At 36.3% G+C, this 17,260-nt stretch overlaps 1 protein-coding gene across 4 annotated transcripts in view; it reads right to left on the bottom strand.

Annotated features, from left to right (window-relative positions):
• The window catches only part of RAPGEF2 (Rap guanine nucleotide exchange factor 2), a 257,095-nt gene that overhangs the window by 100,667 nt on the left and 139,168 nt on the right, over window positions 1–17,260 (bottom strand). For all 4 annotated transcript variants that reach the window (NM_001351724.5, NM_001394067.2, NM_001351726.3 and 1 more), the window contains one exon: window positions 15,716–15,733. In NM_001351724.5, coding sequence (NP_001338653.1) covers window positions 15,716–15,733 — 18 coding nt within the window. The remainder of the gene's footprint in view (window positions 1–15,715; window positions 15,734–17,260) is intronic.

The following is a 17,260-nucleotide window of genomic DNA, read 5'->3' as shown; positions in this document are numbered from 1 at the left end:
AGCTAGAAAGGTTAAAAAGAAAAAAAGATAGCTGTGCTTTATTAATGAGAAATACATGGTCAGAAAAGGAAAAACACTTAACTTCTAACGAAAAGATTGATTCATCAACCAAAGTCCATAACTGCTGCAAATATAGCTCAGTCATCATTTCTGGATATTGGACATTGGACATTCTATGCCCCAGTCTCTTTCTTCAAAAGGCACTTAAATGGTATACTTCTAAAGCGGTTAAATTATTTGATATATATCTCCTTTGGGCCACATTTTAAGTTTAAATAACATAAAAAGCAATACATGTTAAATTCATTTTTAAAAATGAGTAATTTCATAGATTGGGAATGGGAAAGACCTATGTTTGGCTTTCTAACATTTACTACCTGAGTGACCATGAATATTGAACATGTTACTTAACCTCTTTGGCCAGTGCATGCTTATCTACTGACGGGGAAATACTGAACTGTGGGCTAGTTTCATTGACAAAACACATCAGTAAACATCTAGCAGACTGGTGTATCATAAACCTTCAATAAGTGTCAGTTTTATTCTCTCTAAAATATTCTAAAAAGTCAGCTGCATTCAAGCCTCGGCCAACCCATTAATTAATGTACAGTTGTCTGGGACTAAGTTCTTTGTGCTGATATCCTTGTATAGACCTGTTAAAGCAGGAAGATCTATAATGCCACTCCTAGAAATACTAAATAATGCTAATTTTGCAAGTTTGATCCAAAGATATCAACATGATACAACCAGGGTATTGCTGAGACCTGTATTATCTGTTGTGCAAAGGATATACACAATGGCATAAAGATACTATCTGCTTTCATAGACCTATTGAGTCTTCAGAAATTTAATATTTAACAAATACATTTTTATTTTTAAAAAATCTAGTGTCTGGAAATAAATATCAAACTATGTAAGTTTTCAAAATGGTTTAATAGTCTTTCTAAAAAAAAGAAAGTGACAGTAATTATAAATGGACGCATTAACCAACAGACTTTACTACCAGAAATAGAATTGTGCCTGCCCTTTTGTTGTAATCAAATACATTCCAGACGGGAAATGCTTCCAAATAAACTTGCCTGAAAAATAAATAAATATAGAAGACCATCTCAATATAGAAAATATTTTAAATGACACAAAAATTTCTAAAATATTTTCTTGAGAAAAAAGTCAGCCTACCAATACAGCCACATGAGTTTAAGATAACAGCATTCAATATTCCTTTTTATAAATAAATGAATAAACAAACAAAACACACACCTAATTTCTCCCTCTCTTTAGCAGCTCTAAAAAGGCATGGAGAGTATTTTACTATTCATATTTTAGTTACACTTTGAAATTGTCAGTTACTACCATTTTGATATTTACAAACCAAAGATAATACTAGAATATTTAATTGTAAATATCAGGTTATCATTATTAGAATTGCTAACAACTGGCCAGATAGTTCATGTTCATGGAAGATTACATTACCTAGGTGTGTCATAAAGTAGCATTTCATATTATTAATACAGGAAGGCATTCACTCATTAATTCTACAACTGACCCCTAAGACTTTAAATGGGATAGGACAAGAAACGAGAAATCAGGGATGAAAGAGCCCATATAGCCAAGACAATACTAAGCAAAAAGAACAAAGCTGGAGGCATCATGCTACCCTGACTTCAAATTATACAAGTCTACAGTAACCAAAACAGCATGGTACTGTTACAAAAACAGACACACAGACCAATGACACAGAATAGAGAACTCAGAAATAAGACTGCACATCTACAACCATCTCATCTTCAACAAACCTGACATAAGCAATGAGGAAAACATTTCCTATTTAATAAATGGTGCTGGGAGAACTGGCTAGCCACATGCAGAAAACTGAAATTGCTCCTTTCTTACACCTTTTACAAAAATTAACTCAAGATAGATTAAAGACTTAAATGTTGATATGATTTGGCTCTGCATCCCCAACCAAATCTCATTTTACAGCTCCCGTAATTCCCAAGTGTTGTGAGAGGGACTTGGTAGGAGACGATTAAATCATGGGGCGGGTCTTTCCTGTGCTGTTCTCATGATAGTGAATGGGTCTCATGAGATTTGATGGTTTTAAAGACGGGAATTTCTCTGCACAAGCCCTCTCTTTGCCTGCTGCTATCCACGTAAGATGTGACTTGCTCCTCCCTGCCTTCTGCCATGATTGTGAGGTTTCCCCAGCCAGGTGGCACTGTGAGTCCAATTAAATATCTTTCTTTTGTAAATTGCCCAGTGTCAGGTATGCCTTTATCAGCAGTGTGAAACTGACTAATACAAATGTAAAACCCAAAACTATTAACAATCCTAGAAGAAAATCTAGACAATGCCATTCAGGACACAGGCATGAGCAAAGGTTTCACAAAAAACAAAACAAAACAAAACAAAAACACCGAAAGCATTGCAACAAAATCAAAAATTGACAAAATGGGATCTAATTAAACTAAAGAGCCTCTGCACAGCAAAAGAGACTATCATCAGAGTGAATAGACAACCTACAGAATGGGAGAGAATTTTTACAATCTATCCACCTGACAAAGGTCTAATATCCAGAGTCTACGAGAAACAAAAAAAATTTACAAGAAAAAAACAGACAACTCCATTAAAAAGTGGGCAAAGGACATGAACAGACACTTCTCAAAAGACACTCATGCAGCCAACAAACATGAAAAAAACTCAAACATCACTGATCATTAGAGAAATTCAAATCAAAACCACAATGAGATACCATCTCACACCAATCAGAATAGCTGTTATTAAAAAGTCAAGTAACAACAGATGCCTGTGAGGTTGCAGAGAAAAAGAAACACTTACATTGTTGGTGGGAGTATAAATTAGTTCAATAATTGTGGAAGACAGTGTGGCGATTCTTCAAAGACCTAGAGGCAGAAATAGCATTTGACCCAGCAATCCCATTACTGGGTATATACCCAAAGAATAGAAATCATCCTATTACAAAGATACTCACACACATATGTTCATCACAGCACTACTCACAATAGCAAAGACATGGAATCAACCCAAATACCCATCAATGATAGACTGGATAAAGAAAACTTGATACATATACACCATGGCATACTCTGCAGCCATAAAAAGGAACAAGATCATGTCCTTTGCAGAGACATGGATGGAGCTAGAAGCTATTATCCTCAGCAAACTAACAAGGAACAGAAAACTAAACACTGCATGTTCTCACTTTTAAGAGGGAACACAGGGAGGGGAACAACAGACACTGTGGCCTGCAGGGGGCCATACTGGGAAGAACATCAGGATACATAAAGCTAATACATGGGCTTAATACCTAGGTGATGGGTTGACAGGTACGGCAAACCACCATGGCACACGTTTACCTATGTAACAAAGCTGTATATCCTGCACATGTATCCTGGAACTTTAAATAAAATTAAACTAAAAAAAGAGATCAGAGATGAATTTCAGAAATCATGTTGGTCAGTTCAACAGCATGCTAGACATAAACAAAATGTACTGATCATCTATGAAATGCTTACTAAAAGATTGTCTTAGAGCAAGTGTATAAAAAAACCTGTTTTCTGGATGGGTTATATTTTATAGGAAGTAAATATTTTTTCCAAGACATAAAGCAAACTTAAAATCTGTTCGACAAAAATTTAAAAGTATATATCACTAAACTCAGTGAAGTTTTAAGATTAAAAACAAAATTAACAAGATATTAATAATCCAATCAACTACTACAAAACATGGTATTTACAATAAAAGTAAAAACACAGTATGGAAGAAAATGAGACTATTTAAAAAAAAATCTCTACCCAAAAACAATGCAAGAACCTATGGTGACCCCTTATCACGTAGAATATTCATCTGGCCATTTCAGTTTTCACCAAGGGAGACCCACCATTTCAGATTTGAGGAGTTGAGACAACATTTCTGGTGCCTTTCCAAAGGCAGCTCTATCCCCTCAGACAATTATTTTGCTTTATAGTAGCTGATTACCGAAAGAATTTTGAATGTCAGAGCACAGTCATGAGTTGCCAATCACACTTTGTGGTAACAAGGGAAACTGGTCACTTATGTCTTAATATAAGAACAAGGAGACAGAAAAAGACTGAAGGCAGCACAAAGGCACCAGTTAAAAAAAAAAAAACTATATATTCAAAATAGAGCAAAAGAAAGAGAAGAATTCTAGAAATAAGGTAAGGGGAGTTTTGAGAAGAAAGAAGTTTTAAAAATGGCCACACATCATAACGACAGAATGACGGGGAATACATTCCGAGAACGGCGTCATTGGGCAACTTTGTCTTTGTACAAACATCATGGGAGTGTACTTGCACAAACCTAGATAATGTTGCCTACTACACACCTAGCTAGGCTCTTTGGGATAGCCTATTGCTCCTAGGTGACAAATCTGTACAGCATGTCACTGTACTGAATCCTGCAGACAACTGTAATACAATAGTATTTGTATATGTAAACATACCTAAACACGGAAAAGCTACAGTAAAAATACTGTACTTCATCTTACAGGACCACTGTTGTGTATGTGGTCGTTCACTGACAAAAATGTCATTATGCACCACAGGACTATTTAAAGTCTCATGCTGGTGGGGCATGGTGGCTCACGCCTGTGATCCCAGCACTTTGGGAGGCCGAGGCAGGCGGATCACCTGAGGTTAAGAGTTCGAGACCAGCCTGGCCAATATGGTCAAACCCTGTTTCTACTAAAAATTAGCCAGGCGTGGTGGCACACGCCTGTAGTTCCAGCTACTTGGGACGCTGAGATGGGAAAATCATTTGAACCCAGAAGACAGGGGTTGCAGTGAGCGGAGATTGTGCCACCTCACTCCCGCCTGGGTGACAGAGCAAGACTCTGTCTCATTTAAAAAAAAAAAAAAAAAAAAAAGTCATGCTGTATTAGGTACAGATTTTGGACTTGTCAGCATCCACAATAGCATACGCCAATTCCTGAATATCTCCTTCCCTTAACGCTCCACTGGTTCTGTTTATTTGCAGAACTCTATTATATTATGCAAATAAAATCTGAAAAACCAGTGAATCAAATCTGTAAGAGACTAGTTCACAAAGTATGGTCTCAGGACCCCTGAGGGTCCCCAAGACTCTTAAGAGTTCATAAAGTCAAACTATGTTTTCATTATGACATTAAAATGTTACTTGCTTTTTTCACTGCGCTCAAGTGCAAAAGCAAAAATGGGTAAAACCTAACTGATGTCTTAGGATATATCAAGACACTGGCATCACTACTACTATGTAACTACTGTTATTACCAATATTGTCCTTGTATTCTTTACCACCACTCACAGTGGCAAAAAAAGAAAATGCCAGTATTAAAGTGTCCTTGATAAAGCAGTAATAATTAATTACATTATATCTCCACCCATTAGTATACGTCCTTTTAATATTCTGTATGATGAAGCGAGAAGTTTGCATAAAGCACTTTTGTTACAATGTACAATGGTTGTCTCAAGGAAAAGACGTGCAATTATTCCAGTCGTAAGTGAACTGGCACCTTTTTTTCACAGAAAAACATTTTCTTTTTTTTTGAGACGGAGTCTCGCTCTGTTCCCCAGGCTCACTGCCAGCTCCGCCTCCTGGGTTCACGCCATTCTCCTGCCTCAGCCTCCCGAGTAGCTGGGACTACAGGCGCCCACCACCACACCCAGCTCATTTTTGGTATTTTTAGCAGAGACGGGGTTTCACCGTATTAGCCAGGATGGTCTCGATCTCCTGACCTCGTGATCCGCCCGCCTCGGCCTCCCAAAGTGCTGGGATTGCAGGCATGAGCCACCGCGCCTGGCCACAGAAAAACATTTTCATTTGAAAGAACAAATAATAAAAAAAAAAACTATGGTTATTCGGAATTGGGTATCTGGCAGGTATTTTCTAAAAACGAACAAAATGAGCTTGTCATTTGAAGAAAAACAGATGATAATAATTTGCTAATGATAAAATTTGAAGTTTCAACTAAAAGAATTTTGAAAAACATATCTAACACAGTAAGTCTGACAGCTTCTTAATAATTAAGGCCCTTTCTTTATGAGATCTGTGGTGGTATTAACAAATGTGACTTTTCTTTATATTGTATAATGCGCCAAAATTCAGAAGACTGTTTAACCCAGTGACCAATGCATGATGTTACAAAAGTATGCATAAGTAAAAAGATCCTTTCATTGTGCAATTAAGACCAATGGGTTTTAATAAAAGAGAGTAAGGCAAGTTACACTAACATGGTTTTAAATTCCTCATTGCAACTGATCTTTAAGAAACCACTACTGGTCAAATTTTGGTGCAGTCTTTGAAAGAACACCCACATTTATTTTTGAAAGCTGTTAAAATACTCTTCCCTTTTCCAACTACCTATGCATGTGAGGCCAGATTTTCTTCATATACTTTACATACTTCAACCAGAACAGCATATCACAACAGATTGAATACAGATGTGAGAACCCAACTGTCTATTAGACCAATATTAAACATATTTGCTAAAGTATCAAACACTATCATTCTTCTTATAAATTTGTTTTATATTTCCCCTTAAAAACCCTCATGTTAATGTGTAATGGGTGTATCACTATTTTTAAGTTAATCAATGGATACATATTTAAAACTTTTTGTTTCAATTTTTAATATGGTAAATAATAAACAAAAGCTCATTAGAGCCAAAAATTTTTTTTAGAAGTTTAAAGGAGTCCAGAGATGAAACTGTTTGAAAACTGCTGCAACTAGAAAACAATCGGCCTCTCTTAGCTGATGTGAAAGAATGCAGTTATCAACTGTCCTTAGATTTCCTGTTTACACCCACTTCAGCAGAACCCTCTGACAACTTAATCCGCTTGCAGAATAGCTGGCTGCTCTTTCAGTCTAACCAAAGTTAATACTAAAATTTAGGCAAAAGTTTATACTACAGAGTAATTTTTAAACTGAGCCGTCAGTATTCCTCAAAAATGCCCACTGTAAATGACATCAAGAATATCAACGATGCTCAAGTATTCTCTACATCCCAGTTGGTTAGGGATATGCTTATTTCATAAATTAACAAATGGCAAAATGATCCCTTTCTAAAAACTTTCTTAAGTGTTCCAAAAGTCCTGATGATTGAAACATTTTTTTTAAAGGTTCAGTTTAAATTTTTGTATAAAGAAATACAGGGCCAGGCGCCTATAATCCCAGTACTTTGGGAGGCCAAGGCAGGCAAATCGCTTGAGCTCAGGAGTTCAAACTCAGCCTGGGCAATATGGCGAAACCCTGTCCCTACAAAAAACACGAGTGTGCTGGCTCACGCCTGTAGTCTCAGCTACTAAAGAGGCTGAGGTGGGAGGATCTCTTAAGCCTGAAAAGTGGAGTTGTGTCTCCGGAATTGGTGGGTTCTTGGTCTGGCTGACTTCAAGAATGAAACCACAGACCCTCACGGTGAATGTTACAGTTCTTAAAAATGGTGTGTCCAGAGTTTGTTCCTTCAGATGTTCAGATGTGTCTTTGTTCCTTCTGGTGGGTTCGTGGTCTCTGACTTCAGGAGGGAAGCTGCAGACCTCCGCGGTGAGTGTTACCGCTCTTAAAGACGTGGCAGACCCAAAGCGTGAGCCGCAGCAAAATTTACTCCACGCTGTGGAAACGAACCCAAGCAGATCGCGGCGGCAAACTGGGCAGCCTGTTTATTCCCTTATCTGACCCCACCCACATCCTGCTGATTGGTCCATTTTACAGAGAGCTGATTGGTCCATTTTACAGACAGCTGATTGGCCCGTTTTGACAGGGTGCTGATTGGTGCATTTATAATCCCTGAGCTAGACACAGAGTGCTGATTGGTGCATTTACAACCCTCTAGCTAGACATAAAAGTTCTCAAAGTCCCCACGAGACTTGCTAGACACAGAGCACTGATTGGTGCGTTTACAAATCTTTAGCTAGACAGAGTGCTGATTGGTGCATTTACAATCCTCTCGCTAGACATAAAAGTTCTCCAAGTCCCTACCAGATTAGCTGGATACAGAGTGCTGACTGGTACATCCACAAACCCTGAGCTAGACACAGAGTGCTGATTGGTACATATACAATCCTCCAGCTAGACACAAAAGTTCTCCAAGTCCCCACTCTACTCAGGAGCCCAGCTGGCTTTGCCTAGTGGATCCCACGCCTGGGACGCGGGCAGAGCTCCCCACCAGTCCCACACTGCACTCCTCAGCCCTTGGGCAGTCGATGGGACCAGGCGCTGCAGAGCAAGGGACGGCGCCCGTCGGGAAGGCTCAGGCAGCACGGGAGCCCACGGAGGGTGGGGGGCTCGGACATGGCGGGCTGCAGGTCCCGAGCCCTGCCCCATGGGGAGGTGGCTGAGGCCTGGCGAGAATTCAAGTGCAGGGCGGGCAGGCAGGCGGGCCAGCTGGCAGTGCTGGCGAACCCGGCGCACCCTCCACAGCTGCTCACCCAGGTGCTAAGCCCCTCACTGCCCTGGCCAGCAGCACCGGCGGGCCACTCTGAGTGCAGGGCCTGCTAAGCCTGTGCCCACTGGGAACTCGTGCTGGCCCATGAGCGTGGCGCACAGCCCAGGTTCCCACCTGCGCATCTCCCTCCACACCTCCCGGCAAGCAGAGGGAGCCGGCTCCGGCCACGCCCAGCCCAGAGAGGGGCCCCCATAGCGCAGTGGCGGTCTGAAGGGCTCCTCCAGGATGGCCAGAGTGGATGCCGAGGCCGAGGCGCCGAGAGCAAGCGAGGGCTGCTAGCACGTTGTCACCTCTCAGTTGCAGTGAGCCAAGATGACGCCACTGCACTCCAGCTTGGGTGACAGAGCAAGAGACCCTGTCCCAAAAAAAAAAAAAAAAAAAAAGAAGAGTGCTAATAATTGGTGAAAGGGAAATGTCACAACTTATTTTGAGGTTTTATTTTCTAATACCCTCAAATGTCTTCTGCATTGTATTGAAACCACAAATGGCAGATTACCATTGCTATTCTCATAGACATCTGAGTAAAAATCAAGACAGCCTGAGTATTTTCTTTTTCATCCTCAAATATTTCCCTTTGTAATTACTCCACTATTTATCCAAATCAGCAATTCATATTACAGATTTGGTCCACTCTGCTGCCATACCATTTCTCCCCTAGGCCAGCTATTTCAAATGTCATATTGCATCCAACTACCACCTGTCTTCCACTTAATTATTATTATTTTTATTTTTCCATAAGTTATTGGGGTACAGGTGGTATTTGGTTACATAAGTAAGTTCTTTAGTGGTGATTTGTGAGATCCTGGTGCACCCATCTCCCGAGCAGTACACACTGCACCATATATGTTGTCTTCTGTCTTCTACTTAAAAGAAAGGAAGATTTAAGGGGGTGGGGGAGGATATCTGATCATTTACTGAGTCCATAAGAAACTGCTATAATAAAATTATTTAGTAAGGTTTTAAAAATAGATTCTACAATTACTTTTTCCCAAAATATCTTTAAAGGTATTTTTTAGCCTATGTGTAATTTTATTTTACTTTTTTGCCTTGATATTTCCCAATACGAGTAATTTTAATTACCACAAAGGATGCTAGGCAGTACATCTGTGAAATGGATATGCTCAGTCAGTCCAGTTTACTACTAATATACTTAACCCTACTGAGCTGTATCATAAAAATGTTAAGATGGTAACATTAATGGTATCTGGGTTTCTTTAACCAAAAAAGAAAAACAATTAACTTATGTATTTTAAATAGGTGAATTGTATGGCATGTGAATTATATCTCAAATAAGCTGTTACTGGGAAAAAGAAGTGGAGGTTTTTCCCTGATCAGTTTTTAAAAAAAAAGTTTACTATTAAAATAGTACAGATAATACTGACTAAATTTTTCAGAGAAAATAAGGGGGAAATTTTATATAGATAAATACGTATAGCATTATTAGGTATTTTTAATTATCTTAATATAAATAATTAAAATATTTTCTTTCACAAGTGATTTAAAACCTAGCATCTATATATTCCATAAAATGCTAGAGTTTTGTCCAGAAGTCAGCAATATCTTCCAGCTAACAGAGAGGCATTTCAGGTTAATAATGTTTTAAAACTGCATTCAAAACCAAAAGAGAGTATTTCCAATCACCTGATATTTCAAACAGTGAAAACAGACAACTTACAACAGATAACTGTAAAAAAGATCAATTCAGCACTGGCAGGAAATAGGTCTGAATATCAAAGTAGATTTTTCAAAAAAAAAAAAAAAAAGAGACTTTTTTTAAAATCAGCATGTAGCTCTGCAAAATCTCATGACAAAAAAAAAAATCACATGATAAGAAATGAAACAGTCGAAGATGAAAAGCATCTTCGCTGTTGCAATTAAAAGCTAAATTTTAGCCAAGTATATTTAAAACATGTACAAGCACAGAGAGCCACCAGTATTCACAAGGAGAGGCAAGACAAAGTGACAGTGATCTTTTCGACAAATAAATCGCTTGAAATATTGCATGACTTGCTACACAACACCCTTATTACTTTCAATTTCCAAGTGCAACCAAAAGATGGGTCCAATTATGACATCAATACAAGCTTTCTTTCAAAATGGAATGAAAGAACAGTAAATCCCAGTGGACACCGGAGTTCTGTAGCAGAGATGATGTAATATATAAAAATAGACATCCTTCAACAGAAGCTGAAACTTGGGTAAACAGCACACTGCATACCATTCTTAACTGCCTTGCATGAATTTACAATGCATGCTGTTAATAGCATGAGAAATCATTTTATTTTCTAAACTATTTCTTGATTTACATTTCAATTTCTGTACATATGCTATAGTGCAATTTCCCAATCCGTATAAATTAAATCAACGTAAATACCTGATTGTAACTGCAAGAAAGAGAGTTAGTCCCCCTAAAGCAAGGAGGTTGAGACCACTATAGCAGCTTTAACATGCTGCATTTTGCCAGAAATTGCAGCACACACAGCACAGTATTGTTACATCCACCCATTGTTCAGAGACTTTTCCACAGGGAGCTTTCTGCAGGATGTTAAAATGCAACATAATTTAGGGTAAAGAGGAACTAGTAAACCTGCCGATAATGGGCGTGAAAAGCAAAGGATACTTTTGACACCACTCTCCTAAGACTCTTCTGATGAAAACATAAAGCATCAGGCATCCAAACAATAAATTTTAGTAAAATTTGTGGCAGGTTTTATTTGTATGTATATCACTCTCTAACACTCTCTCTTCATCCTCTTTTCCATTCTTTATTACCTAATCCAGTTTTCACATTTCTATTTAGCTTTCCTGGATTAAAGAATAATCTGCTTGAAACTAATCTACCTCAAACTCTCAGTCATGTATTTATATTCATATACAATATGGTCATTAAACACTATTGGAATAGAAAGTACTGCCCACAAAGCAAATCATCAGAAATTAATGAATTAGAGCTATTTAAAGTTTTATTTTGAAACATAAATTATTTCGGCCGGGCGCAGTGGCTCACGCCTGTAATCCCAGCACTTTAGGAGGCCAAGGCGGGTGGATCAATTGAGGTTGGGAGTTCGCGACCAGCCTGACGGATATGGAGAAACCTTGTCTCTACTAAAAATACAAAATTAGCCAGGCCTGGTGGTGCACACCTGTAATCCCAGCTACTCGGGAGGCTGAGGCAGGAGAATCGCTGGAACCCAGGAGGCAGAAGTTGCGGTGAGCCAGATTGCACCATTGCACTCCAGCCTGTGCAACAAGAGTGAAATTCTGCCTCAAAAAAAAAAAAAAAAAAAAAAAAAGAAACAAATTATTTCTACTTTCTTCTCCCTGAATACCACCTAAATCCCTCACCTTTCATTCTTACTCCAGTTGCCATGTTCTAGCCACCACTTCCATTTCCATTACTTAACCAGGTCTTGTGGTCCCACTTTACCATCCCTATCCCCAAAATTTATTCCATCTTGGAGCCAGAGTAGTTTATTTAAATGTAAATCTCAGTATGTCACACCTCTGCTTCAGTCTCTTTGTTGTTCCTTACAGTCATGAAAAAGTTCAACTTTCAACATGGCTTTCAAAAACCCTATAACCACTCAACCTCTAAGTCTTTGAACAAATAAGATTCTTTCTGTACAAAATATCTTTCTTTGAGCCAAGATATTCAGGTGGTTCATGAAACCATCCCCGACTCCTGTAGGGGCCCTGGGTGTGTACCATTTATTTATCTGTATTCCCTGTGAGATTGTAAGGGCAAAGGAGGCAGATTCTCCTGTGTTGTTGACTTTTATATCTCTAGAGCCTGGGACAGACCTGAAACATGGTGGGCACTCAATGAATATTTGTTAAATGACCAAAAATATATAAATGAAAATATTGAGCTTTTCTATGATACAAGAAATAAAATACACAAATTTCCTGAAACTCCATCCCATTATAATTCACAGAGAGACACTGATAGTAATATTGAAGACAAGCCTTCAGGTACAATTAAGCAAACAAATGTTTGATAAATTTAAGTTTTAAAAGGATAAAAAATGTTAAGATAACTAAGAAATTTCCCCTGTATTTGAATAATTTCTCATATATATACATAAACAGATTTTTAAATATCATATAAATTATAGCCAGGTGTGATATCACATAAACTGAAGGTAAAATTTGAAGTCCTTAAATATTCTAGGAAATTTACTAGCTATACAAGTTATTGATGTATTACCCAAAACATACCCTCTTAAGTAGCAAATACTGAGTCAAACCTAAAGAAACCTCAGTAAAAAACTGAATAAATAATAAATGATAAAGCAAAGACATGATATGAGTAAAAATATTGCCTACTTCTTATTTAAGAACATAACTCAAGTCAGAAAGCCTAAATGTCAAATAAATGTGCACAATCACGGAAACTAAATGCTGTAATGTTTTCATTGTTTCAATAGCTGAATGACTTTTGAAACTAACCAAAACTACCAAGGAGTCTTTAACTGAAGGAGAAACCAACTTAACTCTATCTCAGGAGAAATACTGACTTCAGAGATATTTAAGGTATATCCTAGGAATGGTTATATCTTATACACCCATTGTAAGAAATAGAATTTGCCTTATATTATTATACAGAATAATAACCTTAGTTTTAAAATGGGACTGATTTTCATAAGCCTCATACATGAATCAATCTTATTACATTGCTGCCACATTTTAAAAATATTGTATTATCACTGACTACAACAGAAATTATTTCCATAAAGTTTAATATTATATGGCATTCAATTTACATTATATTAATTTAATCTTATGTAGTATTTTCCATTACTTTTGCATGTTATCTCTAAGAACATTAAGCCTCATCTACTGGAAAATTCAATGTATCTTTATGAAACAGTACTCTGCAGTGTATATTCACACTGTAGAAAAGGACTACTAATAAAATGTGTGGGAGATATCCTTTTACACGACCAATAAGTTTTCATCATTTTAAAATTTTTGTACTGACTGAAACTTTATAAGTATGTTTTATTTACACTGTGTTCAAAGTCTCCTGATTCAGATTTGTATAAAGTGGAGCCATATTTTTGGGTAAGTAGGAGTGGGGGTGTGGGGTCAACCAGAATTTTAAAGCATGGAGAGCATTTTAACATTGCCACCAGCCTAGGAAGGATGGAAATTATGAAATGTCAGTTGGGACACATAACCTCTACAATTTGGCCAAGTTTTCTTCAATCTTTAGTCTAATATTTCTCTGTACAGTTTTCCTCTTTCCAAACTAGGAAAATGGAAGAGCTGGGTTTTTTCCTCATTAAAATCAGGGGAGGAATAGAAGATGATGGAAGAGGAATGTGCCAGCTTCCCACGTCACTCCAATAAGGTAAAAGTTAAAATGGTCCTTCCTCTCCTCTCCATTTTTAATATGGAATTCAGATTTTCCTACCCACACAAACTTCTAGAATAAATTACTGATCAATACAGAGAAGGCTTGAAACTATGGGTAAAATAAACATAGCTTTTCTTCACCTGCCCTATTCTGAACCTGGAGACAAGGTAAACTATTACCATCCAAAGTCCCAAGATAGTTCTTTAGTGACAGACCCCAAATCTTCCAGCCTCTGCCAGGAACCTTATTACCTGTCTCTATAATCTACTCACTCTAAGACTGAAAATTCATGCTAAATCTTATTTTTTAGCAATTTGAAATACGGCCTCAATCTCTACTCATCAAAATGTAAGAAAATGCTAATGAAAGCCATCTCCAATCTTCCTTTCTCACTGCATTTTAAAATGCTATTCTCTCTGCAAACCTCATACACTTGCCTTGAAAAATGTCCTGAAAACACAGTACATGGACTATGAGTATTCATGTTTCTAAAGAAAATCATTATAATCCACTTTAAACTACTGCAATGCATCTAATTTTAAAAAGTGTACATTAAAGTATACATCATAACTCAGTGCGCATTTTAAATTCAATTCCAAGTTCTAAGTTGGAATTAGACTGGTAATTTATGCTAAAAAAAGACGAAGATCAATTACATATTGATTTATCTTTTAAAATATCATGTTATATATATTTTAAGTGTACTCTTTTCAGAGAAAAGCTCAAAACACTGAGGTACATAAAACTCTGTACAATTTTAAAATTATTTTAGTGAACTTAAAATTTTAAAATTACATAAAAATGTTTTAGATTTACCACATCATTTAAAAATTAGTAGTGCTTCCAAAAACCAATATAGCAATCATGACACCTGTGGCATTCTAATACGTACTCTCTTGTATAGAACATAAAGGAACTGTCTCATTTTAATTCGAAAAATTATACATAAAATTCATACTTTTAGGCAAAGTTACTCTAATAGCCAAAGATATATCAATGATAGATTTCCCCAATGTGAATAAATTATTCATGATCTTTTCCCTGTACAACAATAAAACACAAGCATAAAATGCTACTAGTTACTTAACCAATTAGTTTTCAAGGATAAATCAGTTTTTCTTCCTTGACTCAAAATTCCCGGATAACCCCAAATGTAATCTAGATCTTCAAAGAACTCATAATGAAAATCATAGATTTTAGTACTTAGTACAGTACTTTAGTAATGTACTTTAGTACTTAGTATAGTACTTAGTCATGTACTGGCATCAAAGAAGTGAGCAAGGAGATTATTACAGACCTCAATTAAAATGTAGAATGAAATAAAAGCAAGAAACCTTGTTAAAAATAAAGTGCAAATAAGAAAATACAAGAGATTTTAAACTTTGTTTCCTTTTTGACCAACCTTTTAAAAAAAAATCTGACTGAAATTTTACCAGTGGCCTCCCAAAATGTTCTCCCATTGAGATTCCTGAACTTTAAAGTTTTCATCTGTAGTATTTAAAATGTAAATTTCTAATGAATTTCCCATAAGCTTTCACATAAAAAGGAAAAAAAATCCTTTATGTCTGCCTGCCTTTCTCTCTTCATTTTTTTATTTGCAAAGCAGGTTAGTGAAGGACAGTGTTCCATTCATTTTTTTAAGTGCTCCATTCATTTTTAAAAATAAGTAGCTTGCACTTGAGTTCTTTCTTCAACATGGACAATCCATCCCCAGGTCTGTACAGATCAAGCAGCCTATTCTACCACCCAAACCACTGATAATTTCAAAGTAAATTAGGGCAAAATACAGAAGGACAAGACGAAGCAAAACATATGAATATTATAAATTCATTAGTAACAGTGCAAATTCACACGTAAACTTAGGTTAGTGTCAGAAGACCACACACAAATTACAATACCTGAGATTTAGTGCATTCCTTTGAGCCAAAATGAAATGAGTGCCATAAAGGAGGAAAGGAAAAGATGAACATTATCAGACATGCTATATTACATCTGCCAAAATGAAGATAATGTTAAAATTAAGTTAAGAATGATCATATAGAATCAGCTATATGTATAATGCTTCCCATGTTATTTAGCCATGCACTTGAAATGCTCTTGCAATGACTTTAAATCACCTGTGAAGTTGATCATGCAATTCTTTTAAATAAACTTTTCACCCTCAGTCCTTCACTATTAGCCAATTTCTTTCAAAGAGAACTATTTCTGTTAAGAATAAGTAAATATGGCGTAGGGGTAATAAAGAATAATTTCTATTTAATTCTTTTTACTATGTGGTATCATACACACAAAACAAAATTTTGCAATCTTCCTACATTAAAATTATGTATTTATGTAAAATAAATAATAAATTATAATGTTATTTTTACACCCCAAAAAAGGATGCAATCCTTATGACCATGTTGTTGCCAATCTTAACTCATTTAGTAAAATTAATACCACATGTCACACATTAGTAAACCAGTATATGATCCATTAGTAATCAAGCCAATTTTTTCATCCTACTATTGAATTTTCCCTAAAAGTATCTGCTGGCTAGGTAAGACACTCTTAAAAATCCACTTAAAAAAAAAAAACTTGTAACAATAAAAGAAATACATATTTTAAAACAAATAATGAAAAGGGAGCCGTGTAAGGAAACTGAATGAAGCTTTCCATAAAGGGGGAATCACGCTGGGGGTGAGGGGAGAGAACAGTTATTAAATGGCCCACCCAACTAAAGTGTGACAAATATGACTATAAGAACAAACAAACCAACTTTAACGCTACATTTTAAATAATCCATACTCCCACTGACTATTTTAGTCTGAAAACTAATCTGGAAAAACAATTCCAAAGCAGAAAAAAATTAGCAATATTTATGCTAGGCTAAAATATTATCTGTGTTGTACTATTAATATGTATAACTATTTTTAATACATATTTCCTTCTTCCATAATGCTACATCAACCCTAAAAACATTACCTTTTTTATGGACAATGGTAACAAAAAAACCTTTCATGGTTTTTTTAATACTAGTCTCTCCAACAGACAAAGATGTCTTTGTGATGAGGAAAAAGCAGTCCTTTCCAAATGAGCTCAATAAAATGATTCAACTATGAAATCCATGTTAAACTAAAATACTTCATGGGTAGCAAGAGGAGTAGTCAGGTTGCTAGTGGTCAAAACCACATTAAATATTTAAATAAAAAGGGCTCTCTGAGAAATAGAATATATGAAGTGTGGGTATAAGATATATCACTTAAACTTACTAAAAATTGAGTAAATAATTTTAAGTCTGTGTACATTTTTCCCATGCATTTTGTATTTATACTTATTTGCAGGAAGAAAGAAAAAAAAGGTAAAGGAAAACAACTGGGGAATGTAAAATAGTTGTTAATTATCTATTTTTATTTTTTATATTTTTATTTTAAATTAATTATACATAAAATAACCACTCATTT

The sequence above is a fragment of the Homo sapiens genome, chromosome 4 (assembly GCF_000001405.40).
Source record: "Homo sapiens chromosome 4, GRCh38.p14 Primary Assembly".
NCBI classification, from domain to species: Eukaryota; Metazoa; Chordata; class Mammalia; order Primates; family Hominidae; genus Homo; species Homo sapiens.
This window is presented reverse-complemented; position numbering and strand designations above follow the sequence as displayed.